At 46.5% G+C, this 23,284-nt stretch overlaps 1 protein-coding gene and 1 long non-coding RNA gene across 3 annotated transcripts, besides 3 other annotated features; both read right to left on the reverse strand.

Annotated features, from left to right (window-relative positions):
• Window positions 827-1,396: an enhancer, noted in NCBI's record as "H3K27ac hESC enhancer chr17:8257795-8258364 (GRCh37/hg19 assembly coordinates)". NCBI's record gives its function as "activates a minimal SCP1, AML or CMV promoter by ChIP-STARR-seq in primed H9 embryonic stem cells {active_cell/tissue: H9 hESC(primed)}" and the evidence as "EXISTENCE:reporter gene assay evidence [ECO:0000049][PMID:30033119]".
• Window positions 4,763-6,891, reverse strand: LOC100128288 (uncharacterized). Its single transcript, NR_024447.1, has one exon. It is a non-coding gene; the product is annotated as an uncharacterized LOC100128288 (long non-coding RNA).
• KRABD2 (KRAB domain containing 2) lies at window positions 5,172-23,054 on the reverse strand. Of its 2 annotated transcripts, none has more exons than NM_001304947.3 (2): window positions 22,250-23,054; window positions 5,172-16,736 (listed from the first exon to the last, which is right to left on the reverse strand). In NM_001304947.3, the coding sequence occupies exon 2, from the start codon at window positions 16,714-16,716 to the stop codon at window positions 15,484-15,486; it is 1,233 nt and encodes a 410-aa protein (NP_001291876.1). In that variant the 5' UTR covers window positions 16,717-16,736; window positions 22,250-23,054; the 3' UTR covers window positions 5,172-15,483. The 2 variants fall into 2 exon arrangements, with proteins under 2 accessions (NP_001291876.1, NP_998762.1); NM_213597.3 differs by lacking the exon at window positions 22,250-23,054 and adding an exon at window positions 17,659-17,890 and having other exon boundaries at window positions 14,987-16,736.
• Window positions 22,693-23,244: an enhancer, noted in NCBI's record as "H3K27ac hESC enhancer chr17:8279661-8280212 (GRCh37/hg19 assembly coordinates)". NCBI's record gives its function as "activates a minimal SCP1, AML or CMV promoter by ChIP-STARR-seq in primed H9 embryonic stem cells {active_cell/tissue: H9 hESC(primed)}" and the evidence as "EXISTENCE:reporter gene assay evidence [ECO:0000049][PMID:30033119]".
• Window positions 22,989-23,188: a silencer, noted in NCBI's record as "silent region_8180". NCBI's record gives its function as "represses an Ori minimal core promoter by ATAC-STARR-seq in GM12878 lymphoblastoid cells {active_cell/tissue: GM12878}" and the evidence as "EXISTENCE:reporter gene assay evidence [ECO:0000049][PMID:35858748]".

Raw genomic sequence — 23,284 nt, forward strand, 5'->3', positions numbered from 1 at the left:
GGTGGCTGATCTGTCACCCTGGGTGCTGGAATGAGGAGACATGGAGAGGAGCCCACAGCAGATACTTGATGGATAGGTAGTGCTATGGACTAAACCGTTTCTCCCTGAAATTTGTATGTTGAAGCCTTTACTCCCAATGTGGCTGTATTTGGAGATAGGGCTTTTTAGGAGGTAATTAGGGTTAAATCACGTCATAAGGGTGGGAGCCCTATCCGATAGGATTAGTGGTTCTTTATAAGAGACACCAGAGCTGTTTCTTTCTCTCTGCAAACATGCACTGAAGAAAGGCCGTGTGAGGACATAGCTAGATGGCAGCTGTCTTTGAGCTAGGAAGGAAGCCCTCCCCAAAAACGGAATCAGCCAGAACCTGGATCTTGAATTTCTTGCCTCCAGAATTGTGAGAAAAATAATTCTGTTATTTAAGGCGCCCAGTCTATGGACTTTTGCAATGGCAGCCTGAGCAGACCAAGACACACGGTGTGGGTGAGAATTTAACCTGGTTATTGTAAGCATCTAGGATTTTAGGGTTGCTTATTACCTTAGCATTACTGAGACTGCTGATGGACACAACTTCTTTGGCTAAAGGGAAGATAAAAATAGACTGAAACTAAAATTGTTCTGCTTTACAAAGACAACTCCCGATCCGCAGACCTCAATTTGAATTACAATCAGACAGCAAGGCTTGAAGAGGCTGGCAATATTCCATCAGAGAGAACAATAAATGTATGAAGTCTGAATAATGAAGGAAACATTTACAAATACACTTGACAGAAGAAGAAGGGAGGCAGGGTGGTGGCTCACGCCTGGAAGCCCAGCACTTTCGGAACCCAGGACAGGCAGATTGGTTGAGCTGAGGAATTCGAGATCAGCCTGGGAAACATGGTGAAACCCCGACTCTACAAAAAATACAAAAATTAGCCGGGCACGGTTGCACAGGCCTATAGTCCCAGCTACAAGGGAGACTGAGGTGAGAGGAGTGCCTGAGCCCAGGAGGTCAAAGCTTCAGTGAGCCAAGATCGCACCACTGCACTCCAGCCTGGGTGCCAGAGTAAGACCCTGTCTGAAAACAAACAAACAAACAAAAAAAAAAAAAGAAAAAGAATGTAAAGATTTTAAGATACAGCACAGTTATGCTTTTGATGATCATGTCTTCGTTCCTCAATATAGATTAGAATTTACAGTAGTTCCCTCACTATCTGGTATTTCCTTATTATCAGTAGTTCTCTCATTATCAAGAAATCCAAGATCAAGGTATCTGGTGGTTTTGCTTCGCTTTCCATGGTGTCAATTACCCGTGGTCAACTGGGGTCCAAAATTATTAAGCATGGCCAGGCACAGTGGCTCACACCTATAATCCCAGCACTTTGGGAGGCCCAGGTGGGTGGATCACTTGAGGTCCGGAGTTCAAGATCAGCCTGGCCAACATGGTGAAACCCCGTTTCTACTAAAAATACAAAAATTAGCTGGGTGTGGTGGCGCATGCCTGTAGTCCCAGCTACTCGGGAGGCTGAGGCAGGAGAACCGCTTGAACTGGGGAGGTGGAGGTTGCAGTGAGCCGAGATCGCACCACTGTACTCCAGCCTGGCGACAAAGCAAGACTCTGTCTCACAAAAAAACAAAAACAAACAACATTCTTAGGTTTTATTAGTTTCCTCAAGTGACTGAGTGCTAAGCATATTGATTTTGATTTTCACAGCACTGGAGTAAGTAAACTTTTATCTTGAAAACAGCTTTTTTTTTTTCTTTTAAAAATCTCTATTGTTGTTAGTTCAATAGTTTGTAGTCTCTGGCTGTAGCCAAGATTAGCCAGCCAGCTCTGAAACAGAGACATAGAAATAGGGTAAATAAAAACCAAGTGTTGGGCCGAGCCCAGCCATGGGGCAGGCTGAGGCAGGAGGATTGCTTGTGGCCAGTAGTTCAAGATCAGCCTGGACAACATAGTGAGACACTCAAGTGTCTCAAGAGTATGAAAAGACAAAGCACTCACTGGGACAAAGTATTTGCAAAAGACATATCTGATAAAAGACTGTTTTCCTCAGCAGGCAAAGAATTCTTAAAACTCAACTAACCAATTTAAAAATGTACAAAATATTTAAAAATATGCAAAAGATCTACAGACATCTCGCCAGAGATGATATACATATGGCAAATAACCATATGAAAGGATGTTCAACATCATATGTTCTCAAGGGAATTGCAGATTAAAACAATGAGATACCGCTGCATTTATTTGAATAGTTAAAATCCAAAATACTGACAACACCAAAAGCAAGTGATGATGTGGAATAACAGGAACTCTCATTCATTGTTGGTGGGAAGGCGAAATGGCCAGCAACATTGGAAGACAGTTTGGCAATTTCTTTTCTTTTTTTTTTTTGGGACAGTGTCTCCCTCTGTTGCCCAGGCTGGAGCGCAGTGGCACAATCTTAGCTCACTGCAGTCTCCGTCTCCCACATTCAAGCAATTCTCCCACCTCGGCCTCCAAGTAGCTGGGATTACAGGGGCGTGCCACCATGCCCGGCTAATTTTTTTTTTGCATGTTTAGTAGTAACGGGGTTTCACCATGTTGGCCTGGCTGGTCTTGAACTTCTGACCTCGGCCTCCCAAAGTGTTGGGATAACAGGCACGAGCCACCGTGCCCAGCCTGGTTTGGCAATTTCTTAAAAAACTAAACATACTTTTTTATTTTTTGAGATGGAGTCTCACTCTGTCGCCCAGGCTGGACTGCAGTGGCGCGATCTAGGCTCACTGTAAGCTCCACCTCCCGGGTTCACGCCATTCTCCTGTCTCAGCCTCCACAGTAGCTGGGACTACAGGTGCCCACCACCACACCCGGCTAATTTTTTTGTGTATTTAGTAGAGACAGGGTTTCACTGTGTTAGCCAGGATGGTCTCGATATCCTGACCTCGTGATCCGCCCACCTCAGCCTCCCAAAGTGCTGGGATTACAGGCGTGAGCCACCGCGCCCGGCCAAAACTAAACATACTCTTAAAATACAATCTCGTGATTGTTGTGCTCCTATTTACTCAAATGAACCAAAATCTGATGCCCACACAAAAACCACACACAAATCTTTATAGCAGCTTTATTCATAATTGCCGAAAATTAGGAGCAAGCAAGATATCCTTCAGTAGGTGAATGCATAAACTGTGGTATATCCATACAATGGAATATTATTCAGTGCAAAAAAGAAATGAACTATTCAAGCCACAAAAGACGTGGAGGAAACTTAAATACACATTGTGAAGTATAAGAAGGCAGTCTGAAAAAGGAACATACTATATATAACATTTTGGAAAAGGCAGAACTATAGAGAGTAAAAAGATCAGTGGTTTCCAGGAGTTTGGGGAGTAGGAAGGGAGGGATGAATAGCTAGCTAGAGTACAGGGGATTTTTGGGATAGTGCAACTATTCTGTATGATACTTTAATGGTAGCTACATGTAATTTTACATTTGTCAAAACCCATAGAATGAGCCAGGCATGGTGGCACATGCTGTAGTCTCAGCTACTTGGCAGGCTGAGGTGGAAGGATCACTTAGGCTCAGGAGCTTGAGGCTGAAGTAGACCATGACTGCGCCACTGCACTCCAGCCTGGGCAATAGAGTGAGACCCTGTCTCTAAACAAACAAACAAACACAATAGAATGCATAGCACAAAGAGTGAACCCTAATGTAAACTACAGATTTGCAGAGGCAGGAGAATTGCTTGAACCCGGGAGGTGGAGGTTGCAGTGAGCCGAGATCACACCATTCCACTCCAGCCTGGGCAACAAGAGCGAAACTCCGTCTCAAAAATAAAAATAAAATAAAAATAAAGTCCATTATTAAACAACAAAAAAGCACCCCAAAAACCAAGGGCCAAGAAAGAGGGAATATTATTTTTCTTTTCTTTTTTTTTTTTTGGAGACAGAGTCTCGCTCTGTTGCCCAGGCTGGAGTACAGTGGCGCAATCTCTGCAACCTCTGCCTCCCAGGTTGAAGCGATTCTCGTGCCTCAGCCTACTGAGTAGCTGGGGTTATAGATGCCCGCCACCTCGCCTGGCTAGTTTTTGTATTTTTAGTAGAGACAGGGTTTCAGCATGTTGGCCAGGCTGGTCTTGAACTCCTGACCTCAAGTGATCCACTCGCCTCGGCCTCCCAAAGTGCTGGGATTACAGGCATGAGCCACCACACCTGGCCTAATTTTCTATAATGGAGAAAACACAAGGCTTATGATTTTCTGCTTCCACAAAGCATTTGGCAGAAATAGGCCAGGAATCCCTATTTTGTAGCCAGGGGAAAGGAAGAATTGTTCTCGGTAGGGGACCACTCTCTAGGGTGAAGCCTGGTCAGTGCCATAGAAACTGTCCTTGGTATTTCTGAGAATTCTGGGTCCATGCTTGGTTAGCTGAGAAACTTGTCAGACACCATATTCTAGTGAGTGCCTGGAAGATACCTGTGAACAGAAGGGGAAACGACACAAGGCCTGGGGGCTTTCAGGCAGCTTTTGGGATCTGCTACATAAAATGCCAGGACTTGAAGACAAGTGACTCTCACTCACATGAATACTGCCTTTGCAGGCCAAAGAGCAAACTGCCAAGTTACTGCCCTGTATTTCCATGTTCAAAGCTGTCTCTCCTCTTTGGTGGGACCTTGTCAATTCTTCTTTTTTTGGACGTAATTGTAGAGTTACAGAAAAGTTGCAAGAATAGTACAAAGAATTCCCACTCTTCACCCAGATTCCCCAAATGTTAACATTTTACTGCATTTTTTTTTTTTTTTTGAGACAGAGTCTTGCTCTGTCACCAGGCTGGAGTGCAGTGGCGTGATCTTGGCTCACTGCAACCTCCGCCTCCTGGGTTCAAGCAATTCTCCTGCCTCAGCCTCCTGAGTAGCTGGGATTACAGGCGCGTGCCACCACGCCTGGCTGATTTTTGTATTTTTGTAGAGACGGGGTTTCACCATGTTGGTTAGGCTGGTCTCGAACTTCTGACCTCATGATCTGCCCACCCTGGCCTCCCAAAGTGCTGGGATTACAGGCGTGAGCCACCGCACCCAGGTGCATTGGTTTTATATCTCTCTGTCCCTCTGTCCCTCCCTTCTCTCTCTCTCTCCACACACACACACACACACACACACACACACACTCATTTTCCTGTACTATTTGATAATAAGTCGCCGACATAATGCTCTTTATCTCAAGATATTTCAACATCTATTTCCTAAAAACAAGGACATTCTCTTACATAACCACAGTACAATCCTCAAGACCAGGAAATTAACTTTGATACAATATTATACTCTTCAGACAATATTCACATTTTACCAACTGTCCCAATGATGCTCATTGTAATAAAAGAATATCCTGGATCATGCATCACATTTGGTTCCCAGTGTCTCTAGCCTACTTTAACTGGAATAGCTCCTCAGTCTTTCTTTGTCTTTCTCAACATTGCCGTTTTTTAAAGAGTACAGGGCAATTATTTTGCTGAATGCCCCTCAATCTGGGTTTGTCTCTTGTCTCTTCATAATTAGATTCAAGTAGCGCATCTGTGGTAGAAATGACACAGAAATGTTCTCAGTGCATCCTTTCAGGGCAGCAGTAGTTGTACATGTACTGGGGAGGTTAACTTTGATCACTGGGTTAAGGTGGTGTCTGCCAGGTCTCTGAGCGAGGATCCTGCTGATTATATTTCTCCCTGCAAGAAGTCCTCTAATACAAAGTAGGCAGGATGGAGAATGTTCAGCAGTGATCTGCAAATGGTCCTTGGAAACTTAGCTTGTGTGACTTCTCACTGAGCACTCCTTTACAGACTTACAAGTCTTTACTCTGTGCCTATTTTTCTGCATTTAGCAGTCTCTTTATTTGTTGGTACCACCAAAGGCCAGCATGATGCCTGGTACATACTTAGTGCTTATAAATGTCCAATGAATGAGTGAAACTGACAGGCTAGAGAAGGGGGTAGGTAAGGAGAGCTGGTCCAGGAAAAGCCCAGAATGACAGTGGATTTCAGAGAGGCTCTCTTCCTGATACAGAGGGCCCCTGCACCTACAGATGAAGAAGGGTGGCAGTTTCAGGTGTCTGGACTGGTTCTCTGCACCCCATTCAGGGCAGAAAGGCAGGGTTTCAGGACTGGGAGCCAGCTGTGTTATTACAGGTGGCCTGGGTTCTGTGTTGAGCGAGATCCTAATGGTCCCTACATTTAAGGCAGCCATTTCCAGCATTTTGGCCATTGCATCAGGAGAAAGAGAGGCAAAAACAAGAGGGGATGTCATTCAAAGAACAGTACACTGAATTGTGGGGGTAGAGTGGGGAGGAGGAAAGAGGCAAACATCTGGCCACTGAATGACTCACCAAAGTTAGGAGTGAGCCATCTGTGTGAATCCCAGAGGAAAGGCTCACAAGCACTCATCTGCTACGTACTCACCCTGTAATGTCGCGGGAAATGCATAAAAGTGAAAAGAACTCCTACGCCAAAGTTCCAGGTGTGGAAAAGTTATTCTGAGCAAGGAGCTAGTCAACAGAAAGGATGTAGCAATTCAAATTACATAGAACAATAAGATTTAACAAATTGAGACATGGGGAAGCAAAAAGCAAAATATCAGGACCAAATTTTAAATGGAAAAGGGAAACTCTAACTAGATCCAAACCAAAATGATAATAATAATGATAATAATAATAATGAAGAAAAGTAAACATAAGAAAAATATGATTCTAAAAGGCAAAGTCTCATATTAAAACGGAAAGGCAATTTGCTCAGGAAGCTCACATTTCCTGCCTTCTTTGTTTGCTTGGAAAACACAGTAGAGTCGACCATCTGGGGTAATTAATTCTAGGGTAAAAATGTCAGAACCTGGGTAAACAAAGATTAGCACCATGATAAAAATAAGGAAGAACCAGGAACTAAAAAAGAAACCAAATTCAGTAAGTTCAAAGGGATAGAATTCTGAAGAAAATTCTGAAGATTCCAGGGACAAGCTTGTTTTGCCATCCGTCAACTTTTTGAATGAGAGTCCTGGGATAACTCTTGCTCTTTTATATTTCAAAGTATCTCAGGTTTCAAATCAATTTCTATAAAGCTTCCACAAAACAAATGGAAGGAAGAACTGTAAATCACAAACTAAAAAAAACAAACAAAACAAAAAACCTTTCCCCCTTACAATTCAACAACCCAAAGTCACCAAATTGAAGAAGGGTAAAGTAATTGCAGAGGTAACGGGCTCATGCACTGATTGAACCTAACCTTGGCAAACCATACTTCAATGGTCTGTTGTACTAATGTCCAGAAAGCATGCAAAATAATTTGGAAGCAAGAATGTAAGTCTGAGCTTCTCGGTTGCCTCCCCCACTGCCCTTCCTTCTCAGTGCTAATGACATTCCAATGCTTAGTCTCAAAAAAACCACTGGTAATAGGGATCTCAGAAATATCAGAAGAAAACGTTCCTTCTACCCCTAGAGCTGCAGACAAGCAGATTCTATTCCACAATATAAGGCCAAAGCTAGTTCTGAAAAAGTGGGTAAATAGAGAACATTCACAAAAGCATTCATCTCTAAGTCTCCTATCTTCTCTCCATCTCGGAAGTGGGGACATGTGCCCTGGCAGGAAGCTCAGGCTGGGGTTCTAGAAGAGGTAGGAAGTACAAAAGTAGAAGAGGACAGTCTTCATACTACACAGGGCAGAACTGGAAGAGAACTTTAAAACGAGTTGGTTCAATTGTCTGTCACCTTAGATGAGGAAGCCAAGTTCTGGAAAGAATAAGTGACTCTGGCAGTGCCTAGAGTAGCCGATGGCCTGAGTTTCTTCCTGCCACCCCACACAAAACAAGTGCAACCAGGAAATTCATGTGCCTAGACCTGATGCCTTAATTCCAAAGCTGCAAAGGTAGTTGGGACCATATGATAGTCCAACTTGGATGCCAGGTTTAAGTTGTTATCCTGTGAGTGAGGAACCACTGCAGATTTCTTTTTTTCCCCTGAAGGGCTGTGGTGCAATCGTAGCTCACTGCAGCCTTGACCTCCTGGGCTCAAGAGATCCTTCCACCTCAGCCACCCAAGTAGCTGGGCCTACAGTGTGAGCCACCAAACCTAATACCATGCCTCACTATGTTGCCCAGGCTGGTGTCGAACCCTGTGGCTCAAGCAATCCTCCTGCCTCAGCCTCCAAAGTGCTTGGATTACAGGCACGAGCCACTGCACCTGGCCCAATGGAGATTCTTGAGCAGGGAAGATGGTTATAAGCATTGACCTTGGACTTGACACTTAGGTTTGAACCCTGGGCTAGTTATTACTTTCTGAGCTTTATTTCTTTCTTTATGAGAGGAAAATTAAGTCCTTAATACACCTATTTAAACTCATTTCTTCAGCTTCAACTGACTTTGTAGGATCGTAAGGATTACATAAGAAAATGAATTTAAGGCCAGGCGTGGTGGCTCACGCCTGTAATCCCAGCACTTTGGGAGGCCAAGGTGGGTGGTGGATCACGAGGTCAGGAGATCAAGACCGACCGTCCTGGCTAACATGGTGAAACCCCGTCTCTACTAAAAATACAAAATAGCCGGGCGTGTTGGCGGGTGCCTGTAGTCCCAGCTACTTGGGAGGCTGAGGCGGGAGAATGGCGTGAACCCGGGAGGTGGAGCTTGTAGTGAGCCAAGATTGCGCCACTGCACTCCAGCCTGGGCGACAGAGGAAGATTCCATCTCAAAAAAAAAAAAGAAAATGAATTTAAAGCTCAATACTAATACTGTAGGTAAATTAGTATTCAGTAGTGTTAACTATTATTCCAAGCAGAGCTTTACTTCTGGAAGATTCACTAGGTGGGTTGTCTCCAATCAACAAAGGTAACAAGAGCCTGTCCTGGGGGAATGGAGAGATGGTAACAGATTTAAGACATTTCAGAGTTAGCCTATCAGTTATGTACTGTTGCATAACAAACCACCTCTAAACTCGGTGGCTTGAAACAACAACATTCATTTATTTTGCACATGACTCTGCAATTTGGCCAGGGCTTGTCTCTGTTCTATACAGTATTGAATGGACGATGAACTGGGGGCTGGGGAGTCTCCTTTTAAGATGGCTCACTCACATGGTTGGCAGGTTGGTTCTGTCTGTTGGCTAAGAGCTCAGCCAGGGCCGAGGGCCCAGGGCTTTGGCTCCTCTCAATGTGGGCCTCTCCACAGGCTGCCTGGGCTTCTTCACAACATGGTGACTGTGTTTCAAGAGTAAACCATTCCAAGAGAGTGAGGTGGCATTTTTATAACAGCCTCAGAAGCCACATATTATTACTGTTTTGTACTAGACTGGTCAAGGCAAGAACAAATTTCTGCCGAAGTTCAAGGAGGGGTGATAAAAACTCCATCTCTTGATAGGAAAGTGCAAAGTTCTCGAAGAACATGTGTTACAGATATACTGTTGCATTGACATTTGGAAAATATAATCTGCTACTGGTAGGGATGACATGATTTAGCAAATTGGCTAGGGGCAGTGAGGGAGAATGATACACTGATGACTCTGGGTTGGGTGACCCATGGTGCCATTAATAGAACTAGTGGAATACAGAAGGAAGAATATGTTAGGGGAGATTATTGACTCTGAGAAGCCCATAGTAGTCAGAAGGCAGGAGCCTGGAAGAGGCATAAGTGAGTCTTACACAGAAAAGTCACAGCTAAAACTAAGACTAGAAGAAATGGCCAAGGATGAGAAAGAAAATCATAACAGATTTTTAGAAAACAATTTTTTTTTTGAGAGGGAGTCTCACTCTGTTACCGAGGCTAGAGTGCAGTGGCACGATCTCAGCTCACTGCAACCTCCGCCTCCTAGATTCAAGCAATTCTTGTGCCTCAGCCTCCTGAGTAGCTAGGATTACAGGCACCTGCCACCATGCCTAATTTTTGTATTTTTAGTAGAGATGCGGTTTCGCCATTTTGGCCGGGTTGGTCTCAAACTCCTGACTTCAGGTGATCCGTCCATCTTGGCCTCCAAAGTGCTGGGATTACAGGCATGAGCCACTGCACCTAGCCTATTTTCTACTTTTTAAATGGCATTATTTTTCCATACCAGTATTTATTTTTATGTAGCCAGATGTATTAATATTTTTCTCCAAGATCACAAACATCTTTTTTCATACATACATATATATATCATACATATATATGTCATACATATATATCATACATATATATATCATACATATATATATCATACATATATATATATATATATATATATATATATATTTATTTATTTATTTATTTATTTTTTAGACAGATTCTTGCTCTGTTGCCCAGGCTGGAGTGCAGTAGTGCGATCTTGGTTCACTGCAACCTCTGCCTCCCGAGTTCAAGTGATTCTCCTGCCTCAGCCTCCTGAGTAGCTGGGATTACAGGCGCCTGCCACCACACCCAGCTAATTTTTGTATTTTTAGTAGAGACAGGGTTTTGCCAGGTTGGCCAGGCTGGTCTCGAACTCCTGACCTCAGGTGATCCACCCACCTTGGCCTTCCAAAGTGCTTGGATTACAGGCGTGAGCCACCGCACCCAGCCCCCCAATATTTTTATCATTATTTTTAAATGTTTAATGTTTAGGGGTCAGACTTCATTTTTGTCAAATGGACAGCCAATTGATCCAGCCCCATTAACTGAATAATACAACCCTTCCCACTGATTGAAATGCCACTTCTATCATAAGTTCCTAGAGATACACAGGTCTGTTGCTGGCCATTTTTCTTTTTCTTTTTTCTTTTTTTCTGGAAACAGGGTCTCTGTCACCCAGGCTGCAGTGTGGTGATACGATCATGGCTCACTTTAACTTTGGCCTCCCAGGTTCAAGTGATCCTCCCACTTCAGCCTCCCAAGTAGCTGGGATTACAGGTACATGGCACCATGCCCCGCAGTGGCCTTTCTTCAGCAGTGGGCCACAGAAACGAATATGCATGTGAGTGGCTGAGGGTGGCCACCTGGAGAGTGCCACATGCACTGCGTCTCCTCATTTGCTGCTGTGCAGAAATTGTGGACCCACTGTGGCCACATATGCCGAGTTCTCAAGAGGTGCTAGACATCCAGATTTTTATATGAACTCTCCAGTGTTTAAAGTGTTGGCAATTAATTAAAAAAAAAAAATTTAAAATGCCGGGCACCATGGCTCACGTCTGTAATCTCAGCACTTTGGGAGGCCAAGGTGGGTGGATCACCTGAGGTCAGGAGTTTGAAACCAACCTGGCCAAAATGACAAAACCCCGTCTCTACTAAAAATACAAAAATTAGCCAGGCGTGGTGGCGGGCACCTGTAATCCCAGCTACTCAGGAGGCTGAGGCAGAAGAATCACCTGAACCCGGGAGGTGGAGGTTGTAGTGGGCCGAGATCACGCCATTGCACTCCAGCCTAGGCAACAAGAACGAAACTCTGTTTAGAAAAAAAAAAAATTAAAAACATTATGTGGACAAAATACATTTGCAAGCTGAGACTAGCCTGTGGCACACCGGTTAGTGACCTCTATTCCACATGCTGAAATAATGCAGGCCAGACTGGGTCCAGGAATCCACCTCTAACTCTTTCCCACTGCCAACATTAAGATGCAAAAGAGGAAGAGTGATGTGGCAGCTCCTGGAAACCCAGGCATCTCTGGGAAAGCAAGCAGTGTTATGGCTCATGTGTCACCTTTTACCCACAGGAGTTGATGATGTGGTTCCCGGTATGCCAAGTAACTAGGAGGGAGGAGGTCAGCACTGGGGAGGGGAAGGTAACATCCTCAGTCAAAGTTGGACCTCCCAGACCTGTTAGGCAGAGTTACAAAGAAAGACAATGGGTTGGAAGGAGGATGGAAACTGAGGTGCTGGCCAAGAACATAGCAAGATTTTGGCCCCCCAAAACAAGCTGGAAAGTGATGTCACTTCCTATGTAATAATAATGTGGCTTCCGTGGAAACCTTCCAACTTAACACTGCAGAATCTGAAAAGAAATGGCAATGAGCAGAGGTCTCCCACCCTCACGTGGAGGACAGGGTCCGCAAAGATGAGTCACATTGTAGAACTTCACTATTCAGAGAAAGCCCCTTCACATGCAGAATCTCGCTGGTCTCTCAGGACAATCCTGTGAGGTAGGCAGCACCAGGGGTGTTACTGCCCCTTACAGAAGAGGGAACTGGCATTAGTGATGATCAGAATGGGTCTTAGATAGCTCTGGGATGTGCAGGAAGGACACTTGTATGAAGAATAAAAGACCGGCCGGGCGAGTGGCTCACGCCTGTAATCCCAGCACTTTGGGAGGCCAAGACAGGCGGATCATGAGGTCAGGCATTCGAGACCAGCCTGGCCAACATAGTGAAACCCCATCTCTACTAAAAATACAAAAAATTAGCCGGGCGTGGTTGGCGGGCGCCTGTAATCCCAGCTACTTGGGAGGCTGAGGCAGGAGAATCGCTTTAACCTGGAAGGTGGAGGTTGCAGTGAGCCAAGATTGTGGCCACTGCACTCCAGCCCGGGCGACAGTGCGAGACTCCATCTCAAAAAAAAAATAATAAAATAAAAATAAAAGACTGCAGGCCCTTTCTCCTTCCCCGTGCCCATTTCTGTAGAATCATTTATTCATTAAATTCACTGAACACTTTCCATGGGCTGGGCACTCTTAGGCATTGGGAACATAGGAGTACACAGGTCCTGGGCACTGTCCTCCCCTGTGGCTGGGTCAGTCATCCTTACTCTGAATCATGGCCCAGACTGGCCTTGCCCTACTCCTCTCTAGGTAGAGCAGTGATCTCAGGCCAACTCTTGCATTTTGTTCCAGAAACCTTGATTATTTCCCTGACTATTGGTCACTTCCCGAAATGCACTGAACTGTGCCAGGAATAGGATATGTTTTTAAGTGCTTGAGACACAGACAAGTGGCAGACGCATACCCAAATTCCAACCATACTTTACTTCTGACCTAATTTTAATATATGTTTCATGCAGTTACACAATTATCTGTGCATAATGCTCTGAGAAAAGGGATGGCACATACAGTTTCTCCTGAAGCGGGAAACAGAGCCCAGTTGGTAAGGTGGCCAGTCTCTAGGGCATCTTAGATGAACCTTGTTTCTTCCTATTACTTTTCCTTCATCTACTTTTTTTTTTTCTGAGATAGAGCCTTGCTCTGTCGCCCAGGCTGGAGTGCAGTGGCATGATCTCGGCTCACTGCAACCTCTGCCTCCTAGGTTCAAGGGATCTTCCTACCTCAGGCTCCTGAGTAGCCAGGATTACAGGTGCATGCCACCGTGCCCGGCTAATACTTTGCATTTTTGTAAAGACGGGGTTTCACCATGTTGGCCAGGCGGGTCTCGAACCCCTGACCTCAAGTGATCGGCCGCCTAAGCCTCCAAAGTGCTGGGATTACAGGCATGAGCCACCGTGCCCAGCCTTCCTTCATCTACTTATTTTCCTGTGATGCCTCCATGTTTTAGAGTATGTGTCTGAGGGGCAGGAATATGTATTAGATATATCTAGGGCAGTCCCACCAGCTTTACATTCTTGAGACCTCATCCATCAGTTCTTGTTTTGCAGACATATACTTCTATTGACTACAATGAGAAGTGTGTCTCTTAAAAAGGTAAGTCTGGCCGCGCGTGGTGGCTCACGCCTGTAATCCCAGCACTTTGGGAGGCAGAGGCAGGTGGATCACGAGGTCAGGAGATCGAGACCATCCTGGCTAACATAGTGAAACCCCGTCTCTACTAAAAATACAAAAATTAGCTGGGTTCGTGGGGGTGCGTGCCTGTAGTCCCAGCTACTCAGGAGGCTGAGGCAGGAGAATCGCTTAAACCTGGGAGGCGGAGGCTGCAGTGAGCCCAGATCATGCCACTGCACTCCAGCCTGGGCGACAGAGTGAGATTCTGTCTCCAAAAAAAAAAAAAATTAGCCAGGTGTGGCAGTGCACGCCTGTAGTCCCAGCTACTGGGGAGGCTGAGGCAGGAGAATTGCTTGAACTGGGGAGGCAGAGGCTGCAGTGAGCCCAGATTGTGCCACTGCACTCCAGCCTCAGTGACAGAGCGAGACCCTGTCTCAAAAAAAAAAAAAAAAAACAAGTGAACAAAGGTCTCTGGTTTTCCTAGGCAGAGGACCCTGCGGCCTTCCGCAGTGTTTGTGTCCCTGGGTACTTGAGATTAGGGAGTGGTGATGACTCTTAAGGAGCATGCTGCCTTCAAGCATCTGTTTAACAAAGCACATCTTGCACCGCCCTTAATCCATTGTTTATCTGCTGACCTTCCCTCCACTATTGTCCTGTGACCCTGCCAAATCCCCCTCTGCAAGAAACACCCAAGAATGATCAATTAAAAAAAAAAAAAAAAAGTTAAGAGCAAAAAAAAAAAAAAAAAAGTCCTGGTTGGGTGTGGTGGCGTGTGCCTGTAATCCTAGCACTTTGGGAGGCCAATCCCTTGGGCCCAGGAGTTTGAGACCAGCCTGGGCAATATAAGGAGACCCTATCTCTAAAAAAATGAAAAAAAAAATAAATAAATAAGTTCAAGTTCAGGTCCCTAGTACCTGTGAATGTCACCTTACTTGGAAAGAGTATTCGCTGATCTAATTAAGGTAAGGATCTCGAGATGAGATCATCCTCATTAGAGTGGGCCCTAAATCCAGTGACATGGATTTGGTGTCCAGTGATGTCTTTACAAGAGACAGGAAAGAATACACACAGGTATTCCTGTGTATTTCAAGTCAAGTTGTATATGGTAGTCCTTGCTTAATAAGGGAAAAGTTCGGGTCTGTGTATTTATTCTTAGGGCTGCCATAAAAAATTATGGCCTTCTCAGGGGAGAAGGCCACATGAAGATAGAAGCAGAGACTGGACTTACACTGTCACAAGCCAAGGACTGCCAAGGATTGCCGATGGCCACTAGAGAAAGGAGAAAGGCATGGAATGGATTCTCCCCCAGAGCCTCCAGAAAGAACCTACCTTACTAACACTTTAATTTCAGACTTTGGGCCTCCAGAACTGTGAGACTCAATTTCTGTTAAGTCACCCATGTGGTGGTAATTTTTTTTTTTTTTTTTTGAGACAGAGTCTTGCTTTGTCACCCAGGCCGGAGTGCAGTGGCATGGTCTCGGCTCACTGCAACCTCTGCCTCCTGGGTTCAAGTGATTCTCCTGCCTCAGCCTCCTGGTTAGCTGGGATTACAGGCACACAGCTCCAAGCCTGGCTAATTTCTATATTTTCAGTAGAGACAGGGTTTCATCATGTTGGCCAGGCTAGTCTTGAACTCCTGATCTCAAGTGACCCGCCCACCTTGGCCTACCAAAGTGCTGGGATTACGGGCATGAGCGCTGCGCCCGGCCAGGTTGTGGTAATTTTTTATGGCAGCCCTAAGAATAAATACACAGACCTGAACTTTTGTCTTTTTGAGCAAGGACTGCCATGTACAACTTGACCTGAGAGTGCAGCCTTCAATCTTTTCCTCTGGGGCCTCTGGCAACAGTTCTCAGATGACTATGCTCAGAGAGACACCTGTGACTGTCCACCCAGCAGCCATCTGTTCACCAGCAGAGGAGACCGGAAGTCCCTTGTGAGGTGCTGGGTTCTGAAGCTTCAGGAGTGGGATCCATGTCATCGTCCATATCAGATCTGTCTGCTCCAATCTCAGCCCTTTCTTCCTGCCTGATCCAAAGGCTATTTTCTAGCTGTTCTTCAGCAATTTCTAGCTCTTCTTCCGTTTGTAAAGTAGCCACAGTTTCCCGGGGCAAGTTTGAGGAATATAGCCCAAATTTGGCTTTATAGCCAAACATTGCCTCAAATGGACTTTGCTGCAAGGAAACGTCGAAAGCCTGATTCCTCACCATCTGCATGAATCGGAGGCCTTTGGCCCAGTGACATGAGTGGTTACTCTGCATCCAGGTACTTATCATGTTCTTTACATCACGGCTTGCTCCTTCCAGGGAGCCCTGGCTTTGGCCAGGGTGGTACTTACCAGATACAATCTTTAGGTCTGGCCACAACTCATTGAGCTCATGAACAACCTGGTTTGTGAACTCAACGCCACTGTCAGAGTCTAACACACTGGGTGTACCAAGAATTGTGAAAATATCTAACAAGACACTGACCACCTCATGGGCCTGTTTGGTTCTTAATGGCCGTAAAATAATAAACTTGGTTGAGTGATCCTGGTAGTATAAAATGAACTTGAACTCACCATCGGCACTGGACTGCATGTCAAGTATTTCAACTTGGCATGTGGAGTCTATGTCCTTAAAAGTCATGGGCTTTGGTGCAAGGCCTCTCTTGGGTACTGGGTTCTTCTGGTGGCACTGTTTACACAGAGTCAGATATAAGACAATAACTTCTTTGGTGACATTCCCATATTTTCCTTGCAGCTCCTTGAGCATGCGTGTCCGCCCACCATGTCCAATACTGAGATGTGTATCATGAAGAATATCAAACAACTCTTCCTTATGTACATAATACCGTATTCGATCACGTTCTCCATGAGTAGCCTCTATCAGTTTCTCTGTGCCCTGTACAGAGATCACATCATATTTTGCTGCACGGCGATAATCACGTGATGACTTCTTCCCTTTTTCTTTAGCTTCTTTAACTTCCTTTATTGTTTGAAAGTACTTTTCTTTGGAAAATACCTTGCTGTTGTAACTTTTGCTTTCTACTAACTTTGTTACACTCATAAGAAACTTTTCTCTCATGTTACTTATCTCCATTTCCATTTCACTTGCATTTGAAACCCCAGGTGGATCATTTCCAGCTCTCTGAGGCATCATGGAGAGCTGTAAGAAGGATCCTAAGAAAGGAAGAAAAGAGAACAAAGTTAAATTCACTGACACTCCCACCTGGAAGACTTTCCCTCTAAAGTTCCTCATCAATTCTTTCATCTAATTTTTGAAGATGATTATATGGAAGAATGATAATAGAATAATAGTTAAAAAGCAACTAGAAAGCCAACTAGCACCATCCAAAACCACAGCATAGCAACAGAATTTGACATCAGTAAAGATCACAAATATGTAGAGGTTTTAGACTTTAGGCAAACAGCAAAAACAATGAAGTCATTAGCTTATAGCAAGAAACCTAATCAACTGGTTTTTATTAACTGAATAGGAGAGAGGATAAACAGAAACTCCTAAGGCAGTAGGCTAAAATCTTACCCTCAGTACCCTTTAAAATAATATAAATGGGAGAACGTTGCTAAAAGGTACCACATAATAACAGCAAACTCTTAAACTGAAATTTGTACCAGGGATTGCTTCTGAGCCTTCCCATGATCAACAGAAACAATTTCTTGGCCAAGCACAGTGGCTCACGCCTGTAATCCCAGCACTTTGGGAGGGCGAGGTGGGCGGATCACTTGAGGTCAGGAGTTCAAGAACAGCCTGGCCAACAGGGTGAAACCCCATCTCTACTAAAAATACAAAATTTAGCCAGGTGTAGTGGCAGGAGCCTGTAATCCCAGCTACTCGGGAGACTGAGGCAGGGAGAACTGCCTGAACCTGGAAGGTGGAGGTTGCAGTGAGCCGAGATTATACCACTGCACTCCAGCCTGGGCGACAAAGCGAGACTGTTTCAAAAAAAAAAAATTTCTTATGGCTGAGGAGTCTGTCCTTATCTTGGGGAATCGAGAAGAAAGCTGTGGGGATATTTTTAAATGACGGTTTCCCCTTGACAATTGTCCACAAGATTAATAAAGGAAGATTCTGAGCCCTTACCCTGTGGGACCGTGTTCTCATAACTGTCCAGCATTGTGTCTCTGTAGCAATCCTTTTGAGAGCCTTCTAAATAATTCCAATCTTTGGTCATATTTTCAAATGCTGTTGCTTCCTGAAACAACATTGGCTGCTGCCACAGGGACCATATAGTCTTGGGGCCTGGGCTAAAGAGCAGCTTCAGCAGGACTGGGGAAGAGACAAGAGAGGGCACCAGGAATGAAGGCATGCAGCATAAAGGACTCTGAAAGCGAGTCAGGTGAATAAATGGAAGAAATAAGAAATAGGTCTCACATCTAACAAGATGAGTACAGCTTCATGGATGAGGGAAAGGAGTTTTGCTTTCCTGGGAGGTCTGTTGGTCTGGCCAGTTTTGACGCTGCCAGAGCTGTAGCCCATTTATTAATCTTTCCAGAATAAAGCAGAGTCCAAGTGAACTTGGGCGCAGGCTTGATGACTCCTAACAGGGGTGGCAGGATCTGTTTCCAATGGAAATATTATATCTGTGTACATAAAGATATGTCAGGAGATTATCCTGCAGAAAAGAGATACCCCAAATGGAGTCTACCTGCCACTGTGATCAGATAATTCCTTAGGGAGAGAACTTGATACTCAGTTGTCTAAACTGGGATTCCTTAGTCAGAACAGCCGTAAGACAGGATGGTGATGAGGCCAGGGGAGTTCACATGAGGACTGCAGGAATTCCAGCAAGCTTAGGAAAACAGGATCCCGAGATCCCAGCTGTCAGATGCAGAGCGGAGGGGCAGGGCAGAATCCTGAGAAGCAGAGAAAGATGGAAACTTTTAAAGGCTCTGAGCAAGAGTCTCAGTTAAGTGGGGCCTGCTTCCAGGTCCGGAAGGTCCTTCACTAAAAGGGCTTCAAACTCCCTTCCTCAGCATTGCTAGTTAATCATGAATATTCCTGATTCTAAGACATTACTGATTGTAAATCACTAACTTAATAACAACTTTCTTTTGAGAGGAAAAACAGTGTGTATTAAATGAATGTATTGATAAGACACATCCAAAATTTAAAATGTGAAAAATATGCATTTTCATTCTTTTTCTTTTTTTGTATTTTTTTATAGAGATGGGGTTTTGCCATGTTGCAAAAAACCCAGGCCGGTCTCGAACTCCTGGGCTCTAGTGATCCACCTGCCTCAGCCTCCCAAAGTGAGGTTTTGCCATGCTGGCCAGGCTGGTCCTCGAACTTCTAGCCTCAAGTGATCTGCTCGTTTTGGCCTCCCAAAGTGTTGGAATTACAGGTGTGAGCCAGCACACCCAGCCGGTCCTACTAGTTCTAACAGACTTGAAACCACAAGGTATTCAATGGAATCCAGAAAAAGCACCTTCCAGATTCCTTTCTGAAACCAGCGTCTCTCAGAACCTGAGTGCTGTGTTGGTTGTTATTTGAGTCCCTTCAGGGGACCGCAAAGGAAGGAAAAGCCTCATCTTCATTCTATAAAATAATGAAGGCAACTGGGCATGGTGGCTCATGCCTGTAATCCTAACACTTTGGTAGGCCAAGGTGAGAGGATTGCTTGAGGCCAGGAGTTCAAGACCAACCTAGTCAACATAGTGAGACCCTGTCTCTAAAAATAAAAAAAAGAAAAAAAAGAATGAAGGCAACAGGCTAGAAACAATTTATAATCAAAAGATGTAGAATCTCAGTCTTTAGTAGAGGTACAGTCCTTACTATACCATGAAATTCTACAGTAGAGTCCAGGGTCTACAATTATCTAATAGACCTATTTTGGTTGGTCCATCTAGTGATTTTAAAAAAATTTGTCTCCCTCTTCCTCTCTCCATCTCCGTCTCCACGGTCTCCCTCTCCCTCTCTCCCTCTCTCCGTCTCCGTCTCCGTCTCCGTCTCCACGGTCTCCCTCTCCCTCTCTCTCCACGGTCTCCCTCTGATGCCAAGCCGAGGCTGGACTGTACTGCCGCCATCTCGGCTCACTGCAACCTCCCTGCCTGATTCTCCTGCCTCAGCCTGCCGAGTGCCTGGGATTGCCCACAGGCGCCGCCATGCCTGACTGGTTTTTGTATTTTTTGGTGGAGATGGGGTTTCGCCGTGTTGGCCGGGCTGGTCTCCAGCTCCTGACCGCGAGTGGTCTGCCTGCCTCGGCCTCCCGAGGTGCCGGGATTGCAGATGGAGTCTCGCTCACTCAGTGCTCAATGTTGCCCAGGCTGGAGTGCAGTGGCGTGATCTCGGCTCCCTACAACCTCCACCTCCCAGCTGCCTGCCTTGGCCTCCCAAAGTGCCGAGATTGTAGCCTCTGCCCGGCTGCCACCCCGTCTGGGAAGTGAGGAGCGTCTCTGCCTGGCCGCCCATCGTCTGGGATGTGAGGAGCCCCTGTGCCCGGCCGCCCAGTCTGGGAAGTGAGGAGCCTCTTCCCGGCCGCCATCCCGTCTGGGAAGTGAGGAGGGTCTCTGCCCAGCCGCCCATCGTCTGAGATGTGGGGAGCGCCTCTGCCCCGCCGCCCCGTCTGGGATGTGAGGATCGCCTCTGCCCGGCCGTGACCCCGTCTGGGAACTGAGGAGTGTCTCTGCCCGACCGCCACCCCGTCTGGGAGGTGAGGAGCGTCTCTGCCCAGCCGCCCCGTCTGAGAAGTGAGGAGCCCCTCCGCCCGGCAGCCGCCCCGTCTGGGAAGTGAGGAGCATCTCCACCCTGCAGCCGCCCCATCCAGGAGGTGGGGGGCAGCCCCTGCCTGGCCAGCCGCCCCGTCCGGGAGGGAGGTGGGGGGCAGCCCCCGCCCGGCCGGCCGCCCCGTCTGGGAAGTGAGGGGCCCCTCTGCCGGGCCGCCACCCCGTCTGGGAGGTGTACCCAACAGCTCATTGAGGACGGGCCATGGTGACGATGGCGGTTGTGTCGAATAGAAAAGGGGGAAATGTGGGGAAAAGAAAGAGAAATCAGATTGTTACTGTGTCTGTGTAGAAAGAAGTAGACATAGGAGACTCCATTTTGTTCTATACTAAGAAAAATTCTTCTGCCTTGGGATGCTATTAATCTATAACCTTACCCCCAACCCCGTGCTCTCTGAAACATGTGCTGTGTCCACTCAGGGTTAAATGGATTAAGGGCAGTGCAAGATGTGCTTTGTTAAACAGATGCTTGAAGGCAGCATGCTCGCTAAGAGTCATCACCACTCCCTAATCTCAAGTACCCAGGGACACAAACACTGCGGAAGGCCGCAGGGTCCTCTGCCTAGGAAAACCAGAGACCCTTGTTCACATGTTTATCTGCTGACCTTCCCTCCACTATTGTCCTATGACCGTGCCAAATCCCCCTCTCTGAGAAACACCCAAGAATGATCAATAAATACTAAAAAAAAAAAAAAAAAAAAAAAAATTGAATGATTCGGCCGGGCGTGGGGGCTCACACCTGTAACCCCAGCACTTTAGGAGGCGGAGGTGGGCGGATTACAAGGTCAGGAGATCGAGACCATCCTGGCTAACACGAGGAAACCCCGTCTCTACCAAAAATACAAAAAATTAGCTGGGCATGGTGGCGAGCGCCTGTAGTCCCAGGAGGCTGAGGCAGGAGGATGACATGAACCCGGGAGGTGGAGCTTGCAGTGAGCCGAGATCGTGCCTCCGCACTCCAGCCTGGGCGACAGAGCCAGACTCTGTCACAAAAAAAAAAAAAAAAAAAAAAAAAAATTCAATGTTTCACCTATATTTACAGATTGGGAGATTTCACATAAATCTCGATTTCTTTCTTTTTTGAGACAGAGTTTTGCTCTGTCATCCAGGCTGGAGTGCAGTGGCGCGATCCCGGCTCACTGCCAGCTCCGCCTCCCGGGTTCACGCCATTCTCCTGCCTCAGCCTCCCGAGTGGCCGGGACTACAGGCACCTGCCACCAGGCCCAGCTAATTTTTTGTATTTTTACTAGAGATGGGGTTTCACCGTGTTAGCCAGGATGGTCTCGATCTCCTGACCTCGTGATCCACCCGCCTCTGCCTCCCAAAGTGCTGGGATTACAGGCGTGAGCCACTGCACCCAGCCTCGATTTCTGGCTTTCTTGAAAAGGCAACATTCTGGCTGCACTGGCGGCATTGCTGCCTGGCAATAACTGGCTGTGATGGAGAGGCGGCATCTTCCTTTGGATCAAGCTTGTCCAACCTGTGGCCTGTGGGCTGCACGCAGCCCAGGACGTCGGGACCTACTAACCTATTCATCTTACTTGCCCACTCCTGCACATTTCTAAGCTTTCAATATCTTTTTTCTTTCATTTTTTTTTTTTTTGAGAGGGTAGGGTCTCACTTTGTCACCCAGGCTAGAGTACAGTGGCATGATCACGGCTCCCAGGGTCAAGGCATCCTCCTACCGCAGCCTCCCAAGTAGCTGGGACTACAGGCATGCGTCACCAGACCCAGCTAATTTTTTCTTTTCTTTCTTTTTTTTTTTTTTTTGTAGAGACGGGGTCTCATTATGTTGCCCGAGGCTTCAGTATCTTTTCCAAAGCAACATGAAAGAAATGTGACCGTAAATCAATCAGCTTCTTGGTGTGATCTATGTGACGGCTAGGTGATAAACGAGTTGGTCAGAGAAAACTGGAAATATTTCCAAAGCCATGTTTACTCCCTTCACCCACCTGTGAGTCTTCGCCTTGGCTGTTTCCGACTCGGAATGTCCTCGCATTGATCCTCCCAATCACAGCCAGCTGAAACCAGCCTCCTTCCTGACGTATTCAGTAACTTTAGCTGATTGCCATCTCTCCTTCATCTCAACAACCTGTACCACACTCACTGGAGCACTTCGCTTTGCATCTTTAGTCGACCAGTTCAGATATATACAACCTATAAGGTAGGGACGGAGGCTTCTACCTGCCTGTACCCCCTTTGGAGGGCCCACGAATACAGAGCTGAGCACAAAAGATGTTTAAAGGACATTTTGTCAAAAATGTCGCTTACAGGTAGGTCGTTATTAGCAAGGTAGAGCAGCGGTACGGCCGAGTCTACGCTTGGGAATTCATTTGCTGACTCTTATCATTTACTGACTAAAGCAAAGTTACTGAGGCCTCAGTTTCCTCATCTACAACCCGGGGAGATGACCAGTACCCATCACAATCGATTGCTATGAAGATTCAATGATAATGCAGATAAGGCACTTAATACAGTGTCCCCTCACCGTCCACACCACACGGGCACGCCCGCTTATTCCTGAGGACCGGGCTGGGATGTCGCCTCCTTTGTGTAGCCTTCCTACCCTGACTTCGCAGACTGCTCCCACCGCCTGGATCCATGCCCGTCCACCCGCCAGCTCAGGGCTGAACGGCTGAGGCGGGCGCGCGGTGGAGAAAAGAGCTGCAGACTGAGGAAGGTCAGGAAGGAGAAAGGGACACACCAGACGCGGCGTCTGAATCCCCCTCCACCCAGAGGCCCCCGAGCAGCAACTCCGCCCCACCTCCCGCCCGCTCCGCCGGAAGCCGGTCAGCGCCAGCCGGAAGCCCCGCCCCCTAGAGGCACCGCGGACACCGTGCAGCGCTGTTCACCCAGATGCCAGCTGTGACCTTGGCTAAGCCAGTGACTTAACTCGGGCCCGTTCCCCATTCCCACGTTGTTGCCAAGTCTCCAGCCTGGAAAGTAAACGGGCTTCAGGTGTCCTGTTTAGATGCTTAAAATGAGGA

Source organism: Homo sapiens, chromosome 17, assembly GCF_000001405.40.
Source record: "Homo sapiens chromosome 17, GRCh38.p14 Primary Assembly".
Taxonomy (NCBI): Eukaryota; Metazoa; Chordata; class Mammalia; order Primates; family Hominidae; genus Homo; species Homo sapiens.

Excerpts from the sequence above, each read along its gene's own strand:
- KRABD2 (NM_213597.3), bottom strand. The coding sequence starts at position 17,884 with ATGCCTTCATTCCTGGTGCCCTCTCTTGTCTCTTCCCCAGTCCTGCTG. Across the intron at positions 16,737-17,658 it reads TGAGAACACGGTCCCACAGG|GATCCTTCTTACAGCTCTCC; the intron begins GTAAGGGCTCAG and ends TTCCTTTCTTAG.